The sequence below is a fragment of the Homo sapiens genome, chromosome 12 (genome assembly GCF_000001405.40).
Source record: "Homo sapiens chromosome 12, GRCh38.p14 Primary Assembly".
In the NCBI taxonomy this organism is placed as follows: Eukaryota; Metazoa; Chordata; class Mammalia; order Primates; family Hominidae; genus Homo; species Homo sapiens.
In genome coordinates this window covers 9,513,767-9,530,777 of record NC_000012.12, presented here as the reverse complement: position 1 = coordinate 9,530,777, position 17,011 = coordinate 9,513,767, and the positions used below count along the sequence as shown (strand labels likewise).

Here is a 17,011-nt window from a genome sequence, read left to right as displayed (position 1 = left end):
CAGAACTCATTCCTTCTTCATTCTTTTCAAATTAAATAAAATTTTAAAACACTCGTAGAGTGTCAGATGTGTTCCAAGGACTGATCCAAATGCTCAAGGCACAAAAATGTATATGACATGTTCACAGCCCATATTAGCTTAAAATTTTAAGCCACTGTGCTCCTTGTTATTATAGTCATATAATTTTCTTGCATTATGGCTGCAATTCACATTCTGTAATCAGGGTATAGATGTCTAAGTAAAGTGTTGGCTTAATAATTGTTGTTCTAATCAAATTGAATTACACGTTAACAAAACTTACTTAAATTTTCCTTGTATATTTAATTCTATCTCTTCCCAGGCCAAGTCAAAAAAAATATGAACCTTTGGAACAATTACATCTAGAAGTGACCAGTCCTAGTCTAAATATTTAAATACATAACATGAGGAATTCAGGCCAAAAGTTTATTCTGATAGGTCTATTTTTTGATGTACTAATAAAACTGGCCATCTCTGCTATAGTTTTGCTAACTTGTTGCAGAAGTAATCTCAAGAAGAAAATAGCCCTATTAGATTATGTTTAGGATGGATAGTTCAATATATATTTTGCCAAAATGTTATATTGAGTTTACACAAATAAACACACACAAGCTGTCATAATAAGTTCATTTAGCAACTGTTTTAGGGTAGATTTTTATTCTGGAAGATCCATAATGAATTATATTTTATATGAAGACAGGGCTACCTTTTGCGTCAATATTTTGATAGTGAAGAGTGCTGGTACATCAATAAAGTACTTGTATAGTAAACAAATTAAAGATGTTTTGTGAACTAGCTAGGCCTTGAAGACTCACAGGGTTTGGTGTGTAATACTGTCATTCTTAGAGATAATTAGCTCCAGGTTGTTCTTTCTGCTGGAATTGTGAATTGCAAATCCATTCTTATCAGAGTGAAATCAGAACTTCAACCCTAATCAAAATTGATTGGATGAATTATTGAGTGTTACAAAAGTTATGCAATGAAGGGCCCTCATATTTTTGACATTCATTTTTATTAGATCCTTCTTATTTGGAGATTAGGTATGTGAGAAGCTCGGAGAAATAATCTTAGAAGAGCCAAGCAGAATTTTTATATCTAAATCCATGTTACTTACATAGAATATATTGTTCTTTAAATATAAAAATCTATAAATCTGTACAAGACCAATCGATACAAGCAAAAAAAAAAAAAGTCTGATCCTGCTTGAAATAAATTATCAAAGCCATCTACGTTGAGAGATGAAATGTATTAGGTCTCTCCTGTTAACTTGAGGAGTAAAGGAATATATTAAAAAGTTACTAGGATGTTTTTATTCCTTTTCTTTTTTTTTCTTGCAGTGAAGCCTGTAGATCCTTAAGATTCTTTACCAGTTGTGTGGTCTTAATTTCACAAATTGAGGAATCTGATCCATAGATGGTTCCACTTGAACGTGGTGGGAGAGTAACATTCTCCTTCCATGAAATGTAAAGACTGCATTGTGGGACATGGAGGGGCTCCATGAGATCCATTTAGTTGCATTCATCCTCCTGTCCCCAAAGTATATCAGTAAATGTATTGTTTCTTGACAGTTTGGCTGTGTTATCCCAGACGCCTGGATGTGGGAATCTCCAAATGGCCAGATAATACTCTCAGCTTCCAATTCAGTGAAACTATTCTTAAGCATGTTAATGAAAATATACTTCTTTCCTGGATCCTAAAAGGTCTAAATGAAAACAACTCCTATTCTTAAGGATGGAAAACAAGTATTCTGCAAAAGCCACTACCAATCCGTACCTTGGTTCCCAGACATATCTCTAGAAGAGACAGAAACAAGCCCTTTAATATAATTTCATTCCTCAACTTCCTTGGAATTAGTCCCTTAATGTGTCTTGTTCTAAATCCCTGATCATCTTGCCACACATTTGTTAAGGCTTATAAAAGAGTGTACATCTTTACCTCAGGCCATTTGTAGACTTGTCATATACTTTGGTAATTTCCCAACATATGCGTTTCACTTCCAGTAAAGAAGTTAGAAGACTCCATTCCCAGATTACCTTGAATCCAGGGGGCAGGTAAATGACAGGCTCGACCAGTGAGATGCTCTGTTCTGAGACTGGGAATCAGAAGGGAGTGAAATGGGGAGGCCATGGAAGAGTTTATTTTCAGGGAACTGTGAGTATAATGGCAACTTCTAGTTCATTGAGGATAAGATAGGCAGAACCTTTTCACATCCACTCCAATGTGTTTATTCCACACACAAGGAGCCACAGTGGGAATTCTGATCATTGCTAGACTTGTCAATTATACCTACACATTTGGAAAATGAATAAATAACCAGAAGATGGATCCGGTCTCTGTTAGACCTACAATGAAGACAATTTGGCCCCAAATTCTGGTTATTCCTGATAGTCATAATCTTTGCCTCTCATCTCAGATGTTATTAGTGAGGTAATATTCAGTATTTTATAGAATATTTAGATATTTATCTTTCCAGGAGCTCATGTGCTTTGGTAATGAGGCAGAATATCTTTGAGAAAGATAGAAGTGAGACCTTAGGGATGGGTGTCTGCCTAACTGAAGTGGACTCCAGTGAAAATTATATAAATATCAAGGCATGAAAATTCAGCACTCCCTATCATGCACTGGTGAAAAAGATAATCAAATAATCTCCTGTTCACCATTGACAAAGTGCCTATTGACAGCAAGCATTTGGGGACCACAAATTTCCACTGCTATAGAACGATACCAGGCTGATTACTTCTAAGAGTTCTGAGAAAATTAAAGAAAAGAAAAACAAGCTAGGAACTTTAAATTAGCCCTTATCATCCGGAGTTCTGTAACAGAATTATCTTTAAGTCTCCAATACAGCTACTGAATGTAATGAATTAACATTACATTTATTGATGCATAAATAGTACCATTCTCTCCTATATATCCTGAATGGTACTATTTATGCATCAAATGGTCTCTCGACACATTCTCTGTGGAGTTAAACAATTAAGCAATTTTCTTATATAACAGTTGAGAAAGGTTGCTCTAAATTTTTGGTTGAAGATATACATTGAAAAGTGAGTACTTTCAATTTTTATGTTAAAACTCTCATTTATTGCAGAGCAGTTCTGTAATCAAAATGCCTCATTATTGTATGTGCTTAGATAGAGGCTGATAATTTACCTGTGAGGGATTTTTAAAAAAATTGACTGTGGAGGGGAGGAGCCAAGATGGCCGAATAGGAACAGCTCCGGTCTACAGCTCCCAGCGTGAGCGACGCAGAAGACGGTGATTTCTGCATTTCCATCTGAGGTACCGGGTTCATCTCACTAGGGAGTGCAGGACAGTGGGCGCAGGTCAGTGGGTGCGCGCACCGTGTGCGAGCCGAAGCAGGGCGAGGCATTGCCTCACTTGGGAAGCGCAAGGGGTCAGGGAGTTCCCTTTCCGAGTCAAAGAAAGGGGTGACGGATGGCACCTGGAAAATCGGGTCACTCCCACCCAAATACTGCGCTTTTCCGACGGGCTTAAAAAACGGCGCACCACGAGATTATATCCCGCACCTGGCTTGGAAGGTCCTACCCCACGGAGTCTCGCTGGTTGCTAGCACAGCAGTCTGAGATCAAACTGCAAGGCGGCAGCGAGGCTGGGGGAGGGGCCCCCACCATTGCCCAGGCTTGCTTAGGTAAACAAAGCAGCCGGGAAGCTCGAACTGGGTGGAACCCACCACAGCTCAAGGAGGCCTGCCTGCCTCTGTAGGCTCCACCTCTGGGAGCAGGGCACAGACAAACAAAAAGACAGCAGTAACCTCTGCAGACTTAAATGTCCCTGTCTGACAGCTTTGAAGAGAGCAGTGGTTCTCCCAGCATGCAGCTGGAGATCTGAGAACAGGCAGACTGCCTCCTCAAGTGGGTCCCTGACCCCTGACCCTTGAGCAGCTTAACTGGGAGGCACCCCCCAGCAGGGGCACACTGACACCTCACACGTCCCAGTACTCCAACAGACCTGCAGCTGAGGGTCCTGTCTGTTAGAAGGAAAACTAACAAACAGAAAGGACATCCACACCAAAAACCCATCTGTACATCACCATCATCAAAGACCAAAAGTAGATAAAACCACAAAGATGGGGAAAAAAACAGAACAGAAAAACTGGAAACTCTAAAAAGCAGAGCGCCTCTCCTCCTCCAAAGGAACGCAGTTCCTCACCAGCAACGGAACAAAGCTGGATGGAGAATGACTCTGACGAACTGAGAGAAGAAGGCTTCAGACGATCAAATTACTCTGAGCTACAGGAGGACATTCAAACCAAAGGCAAAGAAGTTGAAAACTTTGAAGAAAATTTAGAAGAATGCATAACTAGAATAACCAATACAGAGAAGTGCTTAAAGGAGCTGATGGAGCTGAAAACCAAGGCTCGAGATCTATGTGAAGAACGCAGAAGCCTCAGGAGCCGATGCGATCAACTGGAAGACAGGGTATCAGAGATGGAAGATGAAATGAATGAAATGAAGCGAGAAGGGAAGTTTAGAGAAAAAAGAATAAAAAGAAATGAGCAAAGCCTCCAAGAAATATGGGACTACGTGAAAAGACCAAATCTACGTCTGATTGGTGTACCTGAAAGTGATGCGGAGAATGGAACCAAGTTGGAAAACACTCTGCAGGATATTATCCAGGAGAACTTCCCCAATCTAGCAAGGCAGGCCAATGTTCAGATTCAGGAAATACAGAGAATGCCACAAAGATACTCCTCAAGAAGAGCAACTCCAAGACACATAATTGTCAGATTCACCAAAGTTGAAATGAAGGAAAAAATGTTAAGGGCAGCCAGAGAGAAAGGTCGGGTTACCCTCAAAGGGAAGCCCAGCAGACTAACAGCGGATCTCTCGGCAGAAACCCTACAAGCCAGAAGAGAGTGGGGGCCAATATTCAACATTCTTAAAGACAAGAATATTCAACCCAGAATTTCATATCCAGCCAAACTAAGCTTCATAAGCAAAGGAGAAATAAAATACTTTACAGACAAGCAAATGCTGAGAGATTTTGTCACCACCAGGCCTGCCCTAAAAGAGCTCCTGAAGGAAGCGCTAAACATGGAAAGGAACAACTGGTACCAGCCGCTGCAAAATCATGCCAAAATGTACAGACCATCAAGACTAGGAAGAAACTGCATCAACTAACGAGTAAAATAACCAGCTAACATCATAATGACAGGATCAAATTCACACATAACAATATTAACTTTAAATGTAAATGGACTAAATGTTCCAATTAAAAGACACAGACTGGCAAATTGGATAAAGAGTCAAGACCCATCAGTGTGCTGTATTCAGGAAACCCATCTCACGTGCAGAGACACACATAGGCTCAAAATAAAAGGATGGAGGAAGATCTACCAAGCAAATGGAAAACAAAAAAAGGCAGGGGTTGCAATCCTAGTCTCTGATAAAACAGACTTTAAACCAACAAAGATCAAAAGAGACAAAGAAGGCCATTACATAATGGTAAAGGGATCAATTCAACAAGAGGAGCTAACTATCCTAAATATATATGCACCCAATACAGGAGCACCCAGATTCATAAAGCAAGTCCTGAGTGACCTACAAAGAGACTTAGACTCCCACACAATAATAATGGGAGACTTTAACACCCCACTGTCAACATTAGACAGATCAACGAGACAGAAAGTCAACAAGGATACCCAGGAATTGAACTCAGCTCTGCACGGACCTAATAGACATCTACAGAACTCTCCACCCCAAATCAACAGAATATACATTTTTTTCAGCACCACACCACACCTATTCCAAAATTGACCACATACTTGGAAGTAAAGCTCTCCTCAGCAAATGTAAAAGAACAGAAATTATAACAAACTATCTCTCAGACCACAGTGCAATCAAACTAGAACTCAGGATTAAGAACCTCACTCAAAACCGCTCAACTACATGGAAACTGAACAACCTGCTCCTGAATGACTACTGGGTACATAACGAAATGAAGGCAGAAATAAAGATGTTCTTTGAAACCAACGAGAACAAAGACACAACATACCAGAATCTCTGGGACACATTCAAAGCAGTGTGTAGAGGGAAATTTAAAGCACTAAATGCCCACAAGAGAAAGCAGGAAAGATCCAAAATTGATACCCTAACATCACAATTAAAAGAACTAGAAAAGCAAGAGCAAACACATTCAAAAGCTAGCAGAAAGCAAGAAATAACTAAAATCAGAGCAGCACTGAAGGAAATAGAGACACAAAAAACCCTTCAAAAAATTAACGAATCCAGGAGCTGGTTTTTTGAAAGGATCAACAAAATTGATAGACCGCTAGCAAGACTAATAAAGAAAAAAAGAGAGAAGAATCAAATAGACGCAATAAAAAATGATAAAGGGGATATCACCACCGATCCCACAGAAATACAAACTACCATCAGAGAATACTACAAACACCTCTACGCAAATAAACTAGAAAATCTAGAAGAAATGGATAAATTCCTTGACATATACACTCTCCCAAGACTAAACCAGGAAGAAGTTGAATCTCTGAATAGACCAATAACAGGAGCTGAAATTGTGGCAATAATCAATAGCTTACCAACGAAACAGAGTCCAGGACCAGATGGATTCACAGCCGAATTCTATCAGAGGTACAAGGAGGAACTGGTACCATTCCTTCTGAAACTATTCCAATCAACAGAAAAAGAGGGAATCCTCCCTAACTCATTTTATGAGGCCAGCATCATCCTGATACCAAAGCCGGGCAGAGACACAACCAAAAAAGAGAATTTTAGACCAACATCCTTGATGAACATTGATGCAAAAATCCTCGATAAAATACTGGCAAACCGAATCCAGCAGCACATCAAAAAGCTTATCCACCATGATCAAGTGGGCTTCATCCCTGGGATGCAAGGCTGGTTCAATATATGCAAATCAATAAATGTAATCCAGCATATAAACAGAACCAAAGACAAAAACCACATGATTATCTCAATAGATGCAGAAAAGGCCTTTGACAAAATTCAACAACCCTTCATGCTAAAAACTCTCAATAAATTAGGTATTGATGGGACGTATCTCAAAATAATAAGAGCTATCTATGACAAACCCACAGCCAATATCATACTGAATGGGCAAAAACTGGAAGCATTCCCTTTGAAAACTGGCACAAGACAGGGATGCCCTCTCTCACCACTCCTATTCAACATAGTGTTGGAAGTTCTGGCCAGGGCAATTAGGCAGGAGAAGGAAATAAAGGGTATTCAATTAGGAAAAGAGGAAGTCAAATTGTCCCTGTTTGCAGACTACATGATTGTATATCTAGAAAACCCCATTGTCTCAGCCCAAAATCTCCTTAAGCTGATAAGCAACTTCAGCAAAGTCTCAGGATACAAAATCAATGTACAAAAATCACAAGCATTCTTATACACCAACAACAGACAAACAGCCAAATCATGAGTGAACTCCCATTCACAATTGCTTCAAAGAGAATAAAATACCTAGGAATCCAACTTAGAAGGGATGTGAAGGACCTCTTCAAGGAGAACTACAAACCACTGCTCAAGGAAATAAAAGAGGATACAAACAAATGGAAGAACATTCCATGCTCATGGGTAGGAAGAATCAATATCGTGAAAATGGCCATACTGCCCAAGGTAATTTACAGATTCAATGACATCCCCATCAAGCTACCAATGCCTTTCTTCACAGAATTGGAAAAAACTACTTTAAAGTTCATATGGATCCAAAAAAGAGCCTGCATCACCAAGTCAATCCTGAGCCAAAAGAACAAAGCTGGAGGCATCACACTACCTGACTTCAAACTATACTACAAGGCTACAGTAACCAAAACAGCATGGTACTGGTACCAAAACAGAGATGTAGATCAATGGAACAGAACAGAGCCCTCAGAGATAACGCCGCATACCTACAACTATCTGATCTTTGACAAACCTGAGAAAAACAAGCAATGAGGAAAGGATTCCCTATTTAATAAATGGTGCTGGGAAAACTGGCTAGCCATATGTAGAAAGCTGAAACTGGATCCCTTCCTTACACCTTATACAAAAATTAATTCAAGATGGATTAAAGACTTAAACGTTAGACCTAAAACCATAAAAACCCTAGAAGAAAACCTAGGCATTACCATTCAGGACATAGGCATGGGCAAGGACTTCATGTCTAAAACACCAAAAGCAATAGCAACAAAAGCCAAAATTGACAAAGGGGACCTAATTAAACTAAAGAGCTTCTGCACAGCAAAAGAAGCTACCATCAGAGTGAACAGGCAACCTACAAAATGGGAGAAAATTATCACAACCTACTCATCTGACAAAGGGCTAATATCCAGAATCTACAATGAACTCAAACAAATTTACAAGAAAAAAACAAACAACCCAATCAAAAAGTGCGCAAAGGACATGAACAGACACTTCTCAAAAGAAGACATTTATGCAGCCAAAAAACACATGAAAAAATGCTCACCATCACTGGCCATCAGAGAAATGCAAATCAAAACCACAATGAGATACCATCTCACACCAGTTAGAATGGCAATCATTAAAAAGTCAGGAAACAACAGGTGCTGGAGAGGATGTGGAGAAATAGGAATACTTTTACACTGCTGGTGGGACTGTAAACTAGTTCAACCATTGTGGAAGTCAGTGTGGCAATTCCTCAGGGATCTAGAAGTAGAAATACCATTTGACCCAGCCATCCCATTACTGGGTATATACCCAAAGGACTATAAATCATGCTGCGATAAAGACACATGCACACGTATGTTTACTGCGGCATTATTCACAATAGCAAAGACTTGGAACCAACCCAAATGTCCAACAATGATAGACTGGATTAAGAAAATGTGGCACATATACACCATGGAATACTATGCAGCCATAAAAAATGATGAGTTTCTGTCCTTTGTAGGGACATGGATGAAATTGGAAATCATCATTCTCAGTAAACTATCGCAAGAACAAAACACCAAACACCGCATATTCTCATTCGTAGGTGGGAATTGAACAATGAGAACACATGGACACAGGAAGGGGAACATCACACTCTGGGGACTGTTGTGGGGTGGGGGGAGGGGGGAGGGATAGCATTGGGAGATATACCTAATGCTAGATGACGAGTTAGTGGGTGCAGTGCACCAGCATGGCACATGTATACATATGTAACTAACCTGCACGTTGTGCACATGTACCCTAAAACTTAAATTATAATAATAATAAAAAATAAATAAATAAAAATAAATAAAATAGCATCCTGATGTTCTGCTCTTTTCCTTTATCTTGTTTTATTTTCCTTACAGTAGTTCTTTGAGAGATAGTAACTCACGATAGAGAAACATGGTCTTTGGGATCAGAACGTCTGGATTATAATCCCATCTCTGTTACTTAGCATCTGTTGCATTGGACAAGTTACTTAACCTGCCTAAGCTTCATTTTTCTCATTGATAAATTGCAGATAATAGCTTCTAATCTATAGACTGTGATGAATAAATGGGTTGACATTTGTAAAATGCTTAGAATGTTGCTTGGTATGTAGCAATAATTCAGGAAAGATTAACTATCAGAGCACTTAATACCATCTGAAATTATGCCATTGATATAGTTTGAATATTTGTCCCCTCATATCTCAGGTTGAACTGTTATCCCCAGTGCTGGAGGTGGGGCTTGGCAGGAAGTGTTTGGGTCATGGGGGCAGACCCTTCATTGCTTGGTGCTGTTCTTGCAATGGTGAGTGACTTCTTGTGAGATCTGATTGTTTAAAAGTGTGTGACGCCTCTCCTCTTCTTGCTCCCATACTGGCCACGTGAGACACTTGCTCCCCCTTGTCTTTCACCATGACTGTAAGTTTTCTGAGGCCTCCCCAGAAACCGAGCAGATGCCAGCACCATGTTTGCTGTACAGCTGGCAAAACCGTGAGGCAATTTAACCTATTTTCTTCCTTTCTTTTTTTTTTTTTTGAAAAGGAGTTTCACTCTTGTTGCCCAAGCTGGAGTGCAATGGCACAATCTTGGCTCACTGCAACCTCTGCCTCCTGGGTTCAAGTGATTCTTCTGCCTCAGCCTCCCGAGTAGCTGGGATTAGAGGCGTGCGCCACCACACCTGGCTATTTTTTTGTATTTTTAGTAGAAACAGGGTTTCAACATGTTACCCGGGCTTGTCTCAAACTCCTGACCTCAGGTGATCTGCCTGCCTCAGCCTCCCAAAGTGCTGGGATTATAGGTGTGAGCCACCGCACTTAGCCCCTATTTTCTTTGTAAATTACCCAGCCTCAAATATTTCTTTACAGCAACACAAGAAATATACAAATGACAATATGCAGCCATTTGTATATTGTCTGCATCCCAAATTCAATGTAAACTTCATGAATATAAAGATTTACCTGCATTATTCTCACTGTATTTCTAGCATCTGACATGACAGGCACATTAAATGAATTAAAAGACAAAGCAAAAGAAAATAATCATCTCCCCTCTTTTCCCAATCAGTTTAAAAGCATTAAGAGATTATAACCTGTCACCTGCCCTTCGCATTATACTGTGACTTACCTAAGGGTATGTAATCAGTAGAGTCAAGATGGTTAGAATCCTTGCACAATACTGGTTTCCGGAGGTGAGAGTTGGTAAAAATCTTTAATCCTGTTGCCTTTCAAGATAAAATCAATTTTAGATCACATAACAACATAAGACTAGCAGTCTGGACTGGTTTTTTGTTCTATGTATATTTTCAATTTCCACTTATTTCTTTCTCCATCTCTGATTGTCATATATTTAGAGATACTTCACTGACGTTTCCTAAATTTCATGTCTTTGAGTTCCTTAGTTTCTCTAATTCTAATGGCTTTTGCTCTATTTTCCTAATTAAGAGCTGTTGATGAAAACCTTTAAATAAGAGAGGACAAAAAAAGACATCTCATATCATACCCCACTATACTTTCACTACTTTGAATTTGGCATTTTTGTTGAACTAGGGATAGTATCTCACTTATAAACACTTTAAATATAGTAGAATACTTTAAAATAGTAGAAATCAAATTCGAGGGTAGACGTAAGAGCAAAATGGGGATTTATATTAGACACCAGTATATAATGTACATAATATTATGTCAGGAAAGCTGATAATTCCCTCACATATTAGTTCTTTTCCTAATATTATAATATTATTAGTTATTTAAAATATTATTATAGTTTTATAATGAAGTTCTAATAACCTTATAACTTAACCTTATTATAACATTATAATAACCTTATAACTTTATAACTTTATAACTTTTAAATAAAATTATATTAATACAACTTTAAAAAATATATTATAACTTTATAATTTATTATAACTATATAGAATAACTATTATAGCTTTATAATATTATAACTATTATATAATTATAACTATAATATAATAAGAACTTTATTAAGTCTTTTTGCTATTACAACATTATTTGAGATATTATTTCTCAGACATTAGTACTAATTGTAAATTTGTACTCTAAGAATTCTGAGATTAAAAACCCACAGCATGAATATTTCTATTTATTTATATATTGTCACATATATTCACCATTTTAAGACTTAGTTGCCTTACCTTCACAAGGTCATAGCCATCTTTTCCAAAGTCAGCCCATGCAGGTGTGTAATAAATTCCATTGTAAAGGATATGTTCATCTTCAAGACACGGCACTTTAAGGCCATCTTCTAAGTTAAGTCCTCTGAAGTAATAGCCATGTAGTTCCCTGGAATATAGCTGACTATACACCTAGATGGTAGAAGAGAGTCAACTGTATTTTTTCATAGAAAACAATTCATTTTTCCCCACAAGCAGTATATAAATAACCTATATAATCCTATGAATATCCTATGTAGAACTGTCATCATACCTATACCAAATAAACACATATTGAGAAAGTATAGGATCTTAGATCTGTAAAAACTTTGAAATACTATTTAATCAGTTAAATAATTGCTGGCTAAATCACATTAAAACTAACAAAAAGTCCATGAGGCTCAACTGGATTTTAATACATTCCAGATAAAGGCACTGCTCAATACTCTTTGAGGACTCATTCAAGGACATTGTTAGAGAATGTTCTCGGTTAATTTACTAAATCTCCCTGAGCCTAAGATTAGACATTAATCAAAATGGGAATACTGCATTAGTTCTATAGGGTTTATTAATATGAGAATAAAATTAAATAATAGATACGGGAATACTCAGTAGAGCAAGTGTCAAATAGTAGACCTTTAGCAATTGTTATTTATTTTTAAAAGTGTTGGTCATTTTTTCCATAAGAGAATCAGTATAATTGGAGTAGAGTCATTTTACATGATTTCTAACCTAAAATATTTTTTATGCCTAGAACTCTGGACAATTTCTTTCTCCTCTAGTTTATTTAAGGTATCCTGTTTTTATCCAAAGGTAAAGACATAAAACTATACTGTTGGTGGTAAACAAAGATGGTTTTAATCACTCACAGTTTGTGCTGACAGCTGACCATAATTCCTTAGTAGCAATACACTCTGGTCTACAGCCCAAAGAGCACAAAGAGAGTTTGAAGCAGCCGAGACTTGAAGATCAATATTGGATCCTGGTAAACTTTTTTCTTTAGAAAAATTTAAGTTGACCTGAAAATGAAAATAAAAGGGCAAAAGGACGGCAAGCCATATGAGAAGAATCATCTTTTAGACTATTCTTAACTTTTTTAAAAACACACATAAGTTAAAAGGGCTTTCTGTGCTTTACCCACCTAATAATATTATTATTAGGAACAACCGGATTTGGAACAACATCCAAAGTGAATGCTATAATCCTGCTACTCTTCAATCATCCAACATATTAACTTCTCCATAGCTTTCTTTTATTTTTCATTTTGCAATTCTATGAAAAATTGGGAGTTTAAACCCAACAGTCTCTTAAGTTCTCCTTAGTTTTCCCCCAAATTAAAAAAGAATCATTTTTGGCACCTACCTGATTTTCGAAGCATTTCTCAATTCGGAATTGGGTGCTATCAGTGACCATTTCTCCTCCAGGATGCAAGCTATAGACAAGCATATCTACTGAGGGCGCTAATTCAGGGTTAATGTCTATAGAAATGGAAAATATGCCCTTCCTCCCTGTGAAAAGAAAATTTCAAACCGAAAAAGTGCTTTGGTGAGATAGCTGACTGTCATCTTGCAGAAACCCTCCACTGAGTTTCTAGCCATCCTACCCACTGCCAAAGAGACTGCCCCAACCCACCAAATTTAATTTATAAGGCATTTCTAGGAGGAGTTCATAACCTATTCCATAAATTATAAAAGAAAGAAATAGTTGAACATTTCTTATTACGTCAAACTTCAGTCTACTTTTGTTTCTTTTTAAAAATCCCTTCTTGTTTGAATGTAAAAATACTTACCTGTCTTTCTTGGAAAAGAAAGGGAAGGACAATGGCCCTTTCCCATTATAGTAGTGTTTGGAATATAATTAATGCACTATTAATTAAGTAATTATTTTTTCATTTGGCATTGTGCCTATTCACATGTCTTTACATGTTCCCCAAGGGTAGTTTAGGGGGCAGTAAACAGTCCTAAAATGGGAGGATTGTGACTTTTAAAGAAAAATGTAAAATATATCCCAATTAAAGCATTCTATTTGTATTAAATTATATGCTAAAATTAGAGGCCTCACCATTTTCGTTGATCTCAATTTTCTGTTGCCCATGAAGAATGATTACACCTTTTGAAATCACCTAGGAAAATGAAAATATAATCATAAAGTTTAGAGGATAGAAACTAAATTTCATTTAATTATAAACGAATGTGATTTACCTCCTTTTCTTGTCTGAGCAATACTATTGACATGTTTACTAGTAAACTCAGGTTACCAGTAAACAAGCATATGACTCTAATAGCTATATTCAAGAGAATTTAGGAGTCACAGATAAACTTGCTATAAAGCAATTTAATGTTCCACATTCCAAAACAGTTTTCTAAGACCAATAAACAACTTTTTATTCATATTTGCAAATGCTAAATTACATCTAAATTTATTTAGTTCAGTGAAACAAAGTTACACAAAGGCATTAAGAGTCTCCCAGTGCTTGTCTGGTTTTCTGAAAGGTGTGTTTGATATGCAAGGTATAAGCAAGGCCTGTTCATCCATCTCCACCCAAAATTTAAAGAAAAGAGAATAAAGTAGCAAGCTGGGGGTGCTCCAGAAAAAAGCTTCTCTCACTTCACCTTTATCAGCAACTGTGTGCAAATTTGCATCAGCAGACTTTTGTTATGATCTCTAAAGTGCAAACAAAGGCTGGAGACTTGAAATCTAGTACAAACTCCTTGAATTTTTAAATTACAGTTTTAGAATATTATTTTAAAAGATGCTGAGACTTGCAGAAAATTTAAAGCTTCCATAAGATCTTGCAGCTTGAAATTGCAGGAGCTGGTACTCCTAGTCCGTTTAATATTTCACTGAATATTAAAATTGCTTTAAATCTCTGAAGTGCCAAGTTTGGGTTATTAGTTCATAAAAAAAGAACTGAGCCTCAACTAGCTGGAAAATATTGTTTTGGGAACTAGAACATTTGCAAAAAGGCATAAAGCTCAAAGTTTAATGAGCCTGAGAGGTCTCAGCACTGTTGGCTATATTAGCTCACTGACTTCTCAAAACAGAAAGCCAGCTCTCGTAACAGATGAGTAAACTGAAGAGACACACAGAGGTACTGATATTTGTCAGGTCACACAATTAAGAAAAAAGCTTAAAAGACTGAGTATCAAATTACTTACTGAAAGCCTGAGAATCAAATTAATTCAGGCTCTATCCATTCATTCTAAAATATGATATTGAGGGTTCTCTCTGTGATGTGTACCCTGCTAGGCAGAATTAAAGTCCACCCAGCCTATTATGAAAGAATATGTAGAAGACTGGAATTGTCTAGGAGATTAGAAAGTTTCATTTAAGCCAAGAGATGAACGCTGAGGAGGAATCAGCTTGGAAAATCAGGTGCAGGCAGGTTGGGAACCGCGGTAGCAAATGGGAACGAAGATTATTATGGGCAGAAGGGAAAACCTGTGGGAGGCTTCGGAGCCAGAAAAGCACATGGCTTGTCCAAGAAAATGAAAGCCCTCTGTGTCTGCAATGAAGAAGGCTGAAGTGTAGAATGATGCAAAATGAAGCGGGCGAGCTTCACAGGTGCAGAGCAGATACAGAGTTGCAGGCAAAAGAAAGGAGTCTGGTATTTGTTTTAATAGAAATAGGCAGTCATTAACTGTATTTCAATTAGGGGACTGAAATAAATAATCCTAATTGCTTTTTAAAAAAATCACTCTAGATTTCCAGAATAAAGAAAGAAAGAAGAAAAGGAGGGAGGAAGGAAGTAGGGAGAGAGGAAGAAAAAGGCTATTAGCAGACTCATTTAAAATGGAAATGAGGTAAAGTAATTGTAAAGGCCTTATCAGATCAGAGGGGGGCAAACCTAAGCTATTTCAAGAGGGAAGCTGATGACAAGTAAATCAATTCACACCACAGACCTGCAAAATGGCTCAGCTCTGGATTGGGAAGTACTGGGTATTAAGTCGAGCAGAGGTGTGGCCAGAAAAGAAGGCAAAAGTCAGGAGCATGTGGGAGTGTCTTTATAAAAACTAGTTAAGAGGTTCAGCTTCCCTGTAATCCCAGTACTTTGGGAGGCCGAGGTGGGCAGATCACGAGGTCAGGAGATCGCGACCATCCTGGCTAACACGGTGAAACCCCGTCTGTACTAAAAAAATACAAAAAAATTAGCCGGGCGTGGTGGCGGGCGCCTGTAGTCCCAGCTACTCGGGAGGCCGAGGCAGGAGAATGCCGTGAACCCAGGACGCAGAGCTTTCAGTGAGCGGAGATCGAGCCCCTGCACTCCAGCCTGGGCGACTGAGCGAGGCTCTGTCTCAAAAAAAAAAAAAAAAAAAGAGGTTCAGCTTCTCACTCAAGGATGCTTGGTATTTCTCACACCCCAGTACGGCAGTATTATTGTTGACATGTTGAAGGATTTCTGTACCGGTTGGCAAAGAGCCACTTCCCTGAGCTCCCCAGAGTCCCCTCCCTGCTGCCCTAGAACCTCTCCTCCACAACCAGCTCCTCCCACTCCCACCACTTTGCCCCCAGTCTAAATGAGCCATGCTTGGCTTAGCTAAGGGCTTCAGTGGAATTATGACTCATACCTTTTCTGATGGTTTGGTGTCCATACCTTGCTGGTTTGAAATATTTTAATGTTTATGGAAATGATGAAGGAAAGAAAAAATGCAAGAGATAATATAATGAAAAAGTGATAGAAATTGGTGACGCAGTAAATAGCATGAAAAAAAGAAGTATCAAAAGACTATTCCAGAATTCTAAGTTTGCAAAATGTGAGAAATCATGTGGTACTACTTTCATTCTTCGCATAGATAGACTCAAACACCTTTAGTTCTCAGAATAATACACTTCAGACATCTTTGACCTCTTATATTATTTCCTAAAATAAGCTTAAATGTGTTTCTCATATCCTCTAATCATCCAGAAAACTCCTATTCATCCCACAAAACCCTATTTAGGCATATTCTCTTTATGTATTTTTTCCTTAAAAATATGTATATACATATAAATGTAAATATATACGCATATATCTTTTTCCTAAACTAGTGGTTGTCAAATTTTAATGTGCTTCGGAGGACAAGATTTCTAACTTATTCCTAGAATTTTTTTTTTTTTTTTTTTGAGACAGAGTCTTGCTCTGTCACCCAGGTTAGAGTGCAGTGGCACCATCTCCGCTCACTGCAAGCTCCGCCTCCTGGATTCATGCCATTCTCCTGCCTCAGCCTCCTGAGTAGCTGGGACTACAGGCGCCCGCCACCATGCCAGGCTGATTTCTTTTTGTATTTTTAGTGGAGACGCGGTTTCACCGTGTTAGCCAGGATGGTCTGGATCTCCTGACCTTGTGACCCGCCCATCTCGGCCCCCCAAAGTGCTGGGATTACAGGCGTGAGCCACTGCACCTGGCCACTTATTCCCAGAATTTCTAAATTATT

General features: G+C 38.2%; 1 pseudogene across 1 annotated transcript in view; it reads right to left on the bottom strand.

Annotated features, from left to right (window-relative positions):
- The window catches only part of OVOS1P (ovostatin 1, pseudogene), a 127,984-nt pseudogene that overhangs the window by 45,493 nt on the left and 65,480 nt on the right, over window positions 1-17,011 (bottom strand). Inside the window, exons 14-18 of the transcript NR_153413.2 lie at window positions 13,659-13,719; window positions 12,960-13,105; window positions 12,467-12,616; window positions 11,580-11,750; window positions 10,547-10,643 (exon numbers count right to left, since the gene is read on the bottom strand). The product of NR_153413.2 is annotated as an ovostatin 1, pseudogene (transcript). The remainder of the gene's footprint in view (window positions 1-10,546; window positions 10,644-11,579; window positions 11,751-12,466; window positions 12,617-12,959; window positions 13,106-13,658; window positions 13,720-17,011) is intronic.